Consider the following 10,244-nt stretch of genomic DNA (forward strand, 5'->3'; position numbering starts at 1 on the left):
TTTCTCCATGTTGGTCAGGCTGGTCTCAAATTCCCAACCTCAGGTGATCCATCCGCCTCGGCCCCCAAAGTGCTGGGATTACAGGCGTGAGCCACCATACCTGGTCTAATTTCTCTTTTCTTCTGTATTCATCAACCTCCCACATGCTATATTATTTATTTATATTATGATCTGGTTGTCCTTACTAAAATGTAAGCTCCATGAGGAAAGGGTTTTTAAGCCAGTTTTGCTCACTGCTGTATCAACAGTACCTAGAAGAATGCCTAGCACATGCTTGTCTTTAAATATATAATTTCTCCATAAATGAATAAAGTCATTACTGTCATACATGATCTCATTAATACTCATAGAAAACTTAGAACATTTTATGTTACATATTATGTAACTGCAGAATTAGTGGTATCTTTTTCTAGACTGGATAAAAGTTTGGATTCATGTAGCAAGTACAGCAGGCAAAAAGTACGCATACAGGTATCTTTATATATATCTATGCTATTTGTAATAATAAAAAATTAAACAGAAGTATCTAAAAATTTCATCAGTAGATGATCTGCTAAATAAGTTTAGTAGCCCAAATACTTTATATAGAAAGCAAATTAAATTTTTGCTTAATATGAACTAAGCATATTATATCACTGTGTAAAAAGAATAGTTGTAACATAAAAAGTATGCTTGCGGGCGTCCGGTGCCATGGAGGAGTACGCTCGGGAGCCTTGCCCATGGCGAATTGTGGATGATTGCTGTGGAGCGTTCACTATGGGTGTCATTGGTGGCGGAGTCTTCCAGGCCATCAAGAGTTTCCGCAATGACCCTGTTGGAATTCGGCACCAGTTGAGAGGTAGTGCCAACACTGTGAGGATCCGAGTTCCCCAGATTAGAGGTAGCTTCGCAGTGTTGGGGGGCCTGTTCTCCACCATCGACTGTGGCCTGGTGCGGCTTTAGGGCAAGGAGGATCCCTGGAAATCTATTACCAGTGGAGCATTGACTGGGGCTGTGCTGGTAGCCTGCAGTGGCCCACTGGCCATGGTGGGCTCAGCGATGATGGGGGGCATCCTGTTGGCCCTCATTGAGGGCGTTGGCATCCTCCTCACTCGCTACACGGCCCAGCAGTTCCAAAATGTGCCCTTGTTGCTGGAGGACCCCAGCCAGCTGCCTCCTAAGGATGGCACCCCGGCCCCAGGCTATCCCAGCTATTAGTACCACTGAGGAAGCCACTGCCACCATGGGAGCTGCTTCTCGGTTTTCTTCCCGATAATCTACCTCGAAGGAAGGGCTAGCTCCTAGTTAGCCCTGGGACCCTCCAGAGAGGGCTTCTACTCTGCTCCCTAGTCCCAGGCTGGGGGTGGGGCACTGCAGCTGCCCTGACAGATGGGTCCCCTTTTTCTCTCTCGGGGCACGCCAGCCCTACATTCCCATGTATCAAGTTCTCACCCCAGCTCCTTTGTGTGGCACTCTGATGTATATTTAAAGCCCATTTTAAATGTCAAAAAAAATATGATCGCATTTGGAAAATACATACAACTCTTTGCACACAATATGTCTATAAGTGTATGGGTGCATGTTTACATGGAAAGGTGACCAAAAATTATGTAAAATTAAGAATATTAAATATTTACCTCTAGAGTTTGACGTCACTGTATTGAAAGGGAACTCTTCTGGCATGTTTGATTGTTTATATTTTACACTAAAAATCTTTCATGTTTTGTAATAAAAAGTAGATAAAGAATATTCGGAATGACATAAAATAAAAGTTAAGTAAGATAAGAAAAGAGATGAGCAGTATTCAAACAGCAAACAAGGAACAATGAGAAAGAAAAATAAATAAAGTGAAACAAGATAAATAAGCCAAAACTATTTGCCAAGATGTAGGTTAAGAAGTTTCTTTTTTCAAATTCAAATCAATCATTTTGAGAGTGACTATTCTACATACAGTTAATGAAATCTTTACATTACTTTATCTCAAATTTGTGTTTTCAACCCTAAGTAAAATTTTATAAATTCTAAATGGAGCTATTTAAGAAATGTTTATATAGTGATTCCTAGTAAATGAAAATTTAAATGTTTGATTTCAGAAAACAGCAAACCTTTGCCAGAATATCAAAGTAAAATGGGCAAAAAAATTAAATTTAATAGAGTCATAAATCCAAGTGAGCTAGGACAAGAGATTTTTTTTCTGTAGCTGCTTGATGCAGACATGTGTCACCGTTATCACCATGTATAACTTTTCCCGCTTGACACACTTTCATGAGAGCTAGTTTGGCAAGAAAGTATGGTTCTAACTGGAGAATTAGTAAGTTTATCTCTCCACCTTAGTCTTTCAATATTCATGGTGGTCATACTACCAAGTAACTGAAGAGTTTCTGATAGAAGTCATAAAACTTTATGGTGGTTAGATAATGTGATAAATTTGCCCCAGGATGAAAATTTCTACCTTACAGTCTCATTAGGTAGAAGAAAGAAAGCCTTTGGGAGGTGTGAAAGGAAAATATCTTGGGTTTCTAAAATCACTAAGCTAAAGGGAAAATTTGAGCTGGAAACTGCTTAGGGAAAGCCTGCCTCCCATTCTGTTCAAAGTCATCCTTCTGCTCACTGAGATAAATGCATATGTGATTGCCTCCTTTGGAAAGGGTAATCAGAAACTCAAAAGAATGCAACAACTTGTCTCTCATTTACCTGTGACCTCGAAGCCCCCTCCCCACTTTGAGTTGTCCCACTTTTGCTTGGAGTTGTCCCACTTTTTCAGACTGAACCAGTGTTCATTTTACATATGTTGATTGATGTCTCATGTCTCCCTGAAATATATAAAACAGAGCTGTGCTGTGACCACCTTGGGTACATGTCATCAGGACCTCCTGAACTGTGTCACTGGTGTATGTCCTCAACCTTGGAAGAATAAACTTTCTAAATTAACTGAGACCTGTCTCAAATTTTCAGAGTTCACAGAGGACAGATGAAAGCAAAGATCAAAATTGTGAAAATCAGAAAAAAAATAAATTATAAAATGTATTAAATTTTTAATTTAGGGTAATTTTTAATGTAATATATCTCCCTTTCCATGGTCCTCATACTAAGAATAATTTTAAACAGTAAAGATTATGTACAAAACAAGTATGAAAAGACTCTGAAGGTAAAGAAAAAATGTAATAAAGCTAAGGACCTCTGGACAAGAGAAACAAGGTGATATTGAGTTGTCTGAGTATTTTTGTTTCTGTTTCATGTATCACAGCCTGAGACCTGAAGAAGATGGAAACCCAGAATGAGCACTGACTGAACAAGAAAAAAGAAAGCTTGCTCTCTAGTCAAAGTACAAGGAAAGGAGAAGCACAGCAAGAAAGAAAACTTTTTGAAAATAACCTCTCTATTCCAGCCAAACAAAACGGAAAATAAGTTGTTGCCCTACTCTCACCCATCCTATTTAAGAACTACTAGACCTAGATATCCCCCCACAAAAGAATCTAACAAGTTGCCTCCAAAATCTCATTGTGGTGGTATCAGAGAGGACTAAATAGGGAGAATGTGGTCTTCTACCCCACCAAGCAATAAGGAAGTTCAGCTTTTCCTCTCAGCTTAAATGGTGTCTTAGGAGGTCTAATGCAAAGTCAGAACTTTTGCCATCACTCAGCTGTACAGAACCTGCACCCACTACGTTGTCATAGAGATCACCTGAGAAACCAATTGCCAACACTAGCCCTGCAGTAAAAAGGAAGGAGCTGCCCATTCCCATCACTCAAATGTCAATAGAGGTCAAGTGAGGAATCCTGAACTTCTACCTCCAAATAGCAGTAATAAGGTGGTGCCCTCTATCCCCTACCAGAGCAGAGAAATATTGTTAAAACAGAAGTTTTAAGTAAAATCCAGAGTTTCATAGCACAATACGAAAATGTCTGAGTTTTAATAGACAATCACTTATCATGCCAAGAACCAGGAAGATGTCAAACTGAATTAAAAAAAACACTCAGTTGTGGCAGTGGGCTGAGATCGTGCTGGTGCACTCCAGCCTGGACAACAGAGTGAGACACCATCTCAAAAAACAAACAAACAAACAAACAAAAAAAACCACTCGATGGCAAGTTGACAGCAATATAATGAAAATAATTGTGTAACATCACTGATATTTTTTGGCTGTGTCCCCACCCAAATCTCATCTTGAATTGTAACTCCCTCAATTTCCATGTGTTGTGGGAGGAACCCAGTGGGAGGTAATTGAATCATGGGGACGGGTCTTTCCTGTGCTGTTCTCATGATAGTGAATAAGTCTCATAAGATGTGACAGTTTTAAAAATGGGAGTTTCCCTGCACAGGTTCTCCCTCTTGCCACTGCCATGTAAGAAGTGGCTTTTGCCTTCCTCCATGATGGTGAGACCTCCCCAGCCACATGGAACTGAAAGTCCATTAAACTTCTTTCATTTTTAAACTGCCCAGTCTCAGGTATGTCTTTATCAGTAGTGTGAAAACAGACTAATACAGTAAATTGATATGAGTAGAGTGGGGCGCTGCTGAAAAGATACCCAAAAATGTGGAAGCGACTATGGAACTGGGTAACAGGCAGAGGTTGGAACAGTTTGGAGAGCTCAGAAGAAGACAGAAAAACGTGGAAAAGTTTGGAACTCCTAGAGATTTGTTGAATGTCTTTGACCAAAATGCTGATAATAATATGGACAATGAAATCCAGGCTGAGGTGGTCTCAGATAGAGATGAGAAACTTGTTGGGAACTGAAGCAAAGGTAACTCTTTTTATGTTTTAGCAAAGAGATTGACAGCAATTTTCCCCTGTACTAGAGATTTGTGGAACTTGAGAGAGATGATTTCCAGTATTAGGCGGAAAAATTTCTAAGCAGCAAAGCATTGGGAACTGGAGTAAAGGTGACACTTGTTATGTTTAGCAAAGAGACTGATGGCAATTTTGCCCTGCTCTAAAGATTTGTGAAACTTTGAACTTGAGAGAGATGATTTAGGGTATCTAGCAGAAGAAATTTCTAAGCAGCAAAGCATTCAAGAGGTGACTTGGATGCTGTTAAAGGCATTCAGTTTTATATGGGAAGCAGGGCATAAAAGTTCAGAAAATTTGCAGCCTGAAAAGGTGAAATAAAAGAAAATTCTATTTTCTGATGAGAAATTCAAGCAGGTTGCATAAATTTGCATAAGTAATAAGCCAAATGTGAATTCCCAAGACAATGGGGAATGTGTCTCCAGGGCGTGTCAGAGATCTTCATGGCAGCCCCCAATCACAGCCCTGAAGGCCTAGGAGGAAAATATGGTTTTGTGGGCAGAGCCCAGGGTGCCCATACTGTGTGCAATCTAGGGACTTGGTGCCCTGCAACCCAGCCACTCCAGCTGTGACTAAAAAGGGCCAAGGTACAGTTCAGGCCTTGGCTTCAGAGGGTGTAAGCCCCAAGCCTTGGCAGCTCCACTTGGTATTGAGCCTGTGGGTGCACAGAAGTTAAGAACTGAGGTTTGGGAGCCTCTGCTTAGATTTCAGAGGATGTATGAAAATGCCTGGATGTCCAGGCAGAAGTTTGCTATAGGGTGGAGCCCTGTTGAAGAACATCTGCTAGGGCAGTGAGGAAGGGAAATGTGGGGTTGGAGCTCCCCCACAGGGTCCCTACTGGGACACCATCTAGTGATGCTGTTAAAAAAGGGCCACCATCCTCCAGACCCCAGAATGGTAGATCCACCAACAGACAGCTTACACTGTGCATCTGGAAAAGCTGCAGACACTCAACACCAGTCCTGAAAGCTGCCAGGAGAGGGGCTATTCCCTGTAAAACCACAGGGGAGGAGCTTCCTAAGAATGTGGGGACCCACCTCTTGATCAGCATGACCTGGATGTGATACATGGAGTCAAAGGAGATTATTTTGGAGCTTTAAGATTTGACTGCCCCACTGGATTTAGGACTTGCATGGTACCTGTAGTCCCTTTGTTTTGGCCAATTCCTCCCATTTGGAATGGCTGTATTAACCCAAGGCCTGTACCCCCATTGTATCTAGGAAGTAACTAACTTGCTTGTGATTTTACAGGCTCTTAGGCAGAAGGGACTTGCCTTGCCTCAGATGGGGGTTTGGCTGTGGACTTTAGAGTTAATGCTAAAATGAGTTAAGACTTTGTGGGACTGTTGGGAAGGCATGATTTGTTTCGAAATGTGAGGACATGAGATTTGAAAGGGTCCAGGATGGAATGATATGTTTTGGCTGTGTCCCCACTCAAATCTTACCTTGAATTGTAACTCCCACAATTCTCATGTGTAATGGGAAGAACCCAGTGGGAGGTAATTGAATCATGGGCTGGGTCTTTATCATGCTGTTCTCTTGATAGTGAATAAGTCTCATGAGATCTGATGGTTTTAAAAATGGGAGTTTCCCTGCACAAGTTCTCTTTCTTGCTGCCACCATGGAAGAAGTGCCTTTAGCCTTCCTCTATGATGGTGAGGCCTCCCCATCCAGGTTAAACGGTAAGTCCATTAAAACTCTTTCTTTTGTAAATTGCCCAGTCTTAGATATGTCTTTATCAGCAATGTGAAAATGGACTAATACAATGACCAACTTGGCTTTATTCCAGGATGCAAGACTAGTTCAATATTCAAAAATCAATCAATGAAATTCACCATATAATCAGTTTGAAAAAGAAAGATCACAGGATCATACAAATGAAAGCCAAAAAAAATTTTAAAAAAATCAATTAAGGAGAAAATAAAATAAATTATAGCAAACTAGGAATAGAGGAGAACTTCCTCTACTTTATAAAAAGTATCTACAAAAATACTTCAGCTAACATTATGCTTAATGGTAAAAGCCTGAATGCTCTTCCTCTAAGATTGGGAACAAAGAAAGGATGTCTGCTTTCACCATTGTTATTTTAACATAATGCTGAAAGTTTTAGCCTGTGCTGCAAGACAAGAAAAAGAATTAAAGGGTTTACAGATTAGAAAGGCAGAAATAAAACTGTGTCTATTTTCGGGTGACATAATTGTATGTAGACAATTTAAAACAATCTACCAGTAAAACTTCTAGAACTAATAAGTAAGCTCAGCCAAGGTCAGAGGAAATAAGAAGGATAAATTTAATAATATTTTTATATCCTACCAATAAACACAAAAACATTAAAAATTCAGTGCCATTAAAATCACTCAAGAAATGAAACAGGTGTAAAGATAATAAAATATACAGGACATGTATTCTGAAAACTACATAATTATAATGAAGAAATCAAAGACCTATATACTTTGAGTGACATATCATTTACATGAATAAGAATATTCAATATTAGTAAATATGTCAGTTATCCTCAAATTGATATAAAGGTTTAATTCAAATTTTGCCAAAATTGCAGCAAGAATTTTTTTGTCAAGATAGACAAGATTATTCTAAAATTTATATGGAAAGTCAAAAGGACTAGAACAGCTAAAACAATTTTGAAAAGGAAGAATATATTGGGAGAAATTAGTCTACACTATTTTTAAACACACATCTATAGTACTCAAGACTGTGTGGTATTGGCAGAAGTACATGCACATAAATAACAGGACAGAATAATGAAACCAGAAATAGACTCACACAGATATGTCCAACTGACTTTTGACAAAAGTTCAAAACAATTGAATGAAGAAATATAATTGTTCAATGAATGATGCTGGAGTTAGTGGACATCCATTGGGAAAAGTAAAAAGGTTCCTTGACCTAAACTTTATGTTTTATGAAAAATTTAACTAAAAATAGATCAGAGGCTAAGCCATAAATTATAAAATGATAACGCTTTTAGAAATAAACACAGGAAAAATATTTCAGGATATAGTGCTAGACAAATAATTTTTAGAATTGACAACAAAATTATGACTTATAAAAAGGAAAATGATTAATTAAATAATTAAGTTAGACTTTATCAAAATTAAAACTTCTGTGGTCCCATACAAATTTTAGGATTGCTTTTTCTGTTTCTGTAAAAATGTCATTGGAATTTTGATAGGAATTTCATTGAATCTATAGATTTTTTTGGGTTGTATTGACATTTTCATAATATTAATTCTTCCAATCCATGGACATGATATCTTTCAACTTATTTCTGTGTAATTTTTTTCATCAATGTTTTATAGTTTTCAACATACATATTTTTTACTTAAATTTATTATTATTTTCTTTTTTCTTTTTTTTTACATATTGTTAATGGAATTATTTTCTTAATTTTTTTGAATAGCTAATTATTATTGTATAGAACACCGCTCATTTATGCATGTTGATTTTGTATTCTGCAACTTTACTAGATTAATTTATTAGGTCTAAAAATTTTTTTGATAAAGTCTTTAACATTTTCTACCTATAAAAATCATGCCATCTGCAAACAGAGACAACTTAACTTCTTCTTTTCCAATCTGGATGCCTTTATATATTTCTCTTGCCTAAGAACCCCAATAGCCAAAGCAAACTTGAGCAAAATGAACAAAGCTGGAGCCATTTACACTACGTGATTTAAAAATACAAAGCTATAGCATTTACAAAGAATAATACTGTCATGAAACAGACATCAGAAAATGGAACAGAATAAAGATCACAGAAATGAAGCTATGCATTTATGGTCAATTGATTGTCAACAAAGGTGCCAAGAACACACACAGGGGAATGAAAAATATCGTTAATAAATGGTTTTGGAAAAACCAAAGTAAAATAATTAAAGTGGATCTCTATCTCACACCATCGACAAAAATAACTCAAAATAGATAAAAGGCTAAATGTAAGACCCAAATCTATAAAACTACTAGAAGAAAACATAACAGAAATGCCAATTAAAATCAAAATGAGGTATCACCTCACCTGTTAGAATGGTTATAATCAAAAGGATGAAAGATATCAAGCGTTGGGCAGAATGTGAAAGAAAGGGAACCCTTGTACATTGTTGGTGAGAATCTAAGTTAGTACAGTAATTATGAAAAACAATATGAAGTTTCCTCAAAAAATTAAAAACAGAACTACCATATGATTCAAGATTTAATAATCCTACTACTGAGGAAATATCCAAAGCAAATGAAATAAATATTTTGAAGTGATAGCCGTACTCCCATGTTTATTGCATCATTATTACCAATGGCCAAGATATAAAATCATTTTAAGTATCCATCAAAGGATGAGTGGATAAATAAAATGTGGTATATATACACAATGTAATACTATTCATCCTTTAAAAGAAGGAAATCCTGTCATTTCAAACAATGTGGAAGAACCTGGAGGACATACATTAAGTGAAAAAAGCCAGGCACAGAAAACCACATACTGCATGGACTCCATTATGTGTTGAACCTAATAAAGTTGAACTCATAGAAGCAAAGAATGTAAAGGTGATTACCAGAAGCTGGGGGTTGGAGAGATCGGGCGGATGTCTGTGAAAAGATATAAAATGTCAGGTAAATAGGAAGAATAAATTAAATTGATCTATTATACATCATGGTGACTATAGTTAATAGTATATTGTATATTTGAAAGTCACTGAGAGTTGACTTTAAGTTTTCTAACCCCACACCAAAAAAGGATAAATGTGCAAGGTAATCCATACGTTAATTAGCTTGATTTAACTATTCCACAAAGTATACATACATCAGAACATCTGTAGTGTACCTTAAATATATAAAGTTTTGTCAATTAAAAATACGTAAATTCATAAGTAAAATTAAAATACCCTACAGAGAGGATACAATTGCAAGCTACAGACTGGGAGAAAATAGTTGCAAAGCACATATGTGACAAAAGACTAATATTTTTATGTGAGGAGCTCTCAAAACTAAATGATAACCAAAAAGTCTAAGAAGAAAATGGGCAAAAACCTGAAGAACCATTTCATTGTAAAGAATGTAAGAATAAAAAATGAGCACATGAAACTATATACAACATTATAGCTATGAGGTAATTGCAGATTTAAACCCCAGTGAAATATCACTACACATCTATTAGAATGACAAAGATAAAAAATAGTGATACTACCTGTTCCAGGGAAGGACCATATATACAAAGCAAACCACAGAGCAGAAGGCACTGAGAAGCCAAAGTGTGAAGCAAACAAATCTAGTTTGCTAGTAAAGGATGTTTAATTGGGGTTTACAGAGAGAAGTGTGGTCTTGGTTTAATTGGTGGAATTTACACAGAGAAGTGTGGCCACTCGGGACTGATATACCATGGGGAAAGGTTGTACATGCTCTATAGAAACAATTAAAAGCAGTTCTCCAAAAAAAAATGCTAGATGTGTTATAGCCCTTATGTGTGAT

The 10,244-nt window shown here is 37.2% G+C and overlaps 1 pseudogene; it reads left to right on the plus strand.

Moving 5' to 3' along the window:
- TIMM17BP1 (translocase of inner mitochondrial membrane 17B pseudogene 1) lies at window positions 683-1,483 on the plus strand (annotated as a pseudogene).

Source organism: Homo sapiens, chromosome 12 (assembly GCF_000001405.40).
Source record: "Homo sapiens chromosome 12, GRCh38.p14 Primary Assembly".
In the NCBI taxonomy this organism is placed as follows: domain Eukaryota; kingdom Metazoa; phylum Chordata; class Mammalia; order Primates; family Hominidae; genus Homo; species Homo sapiens.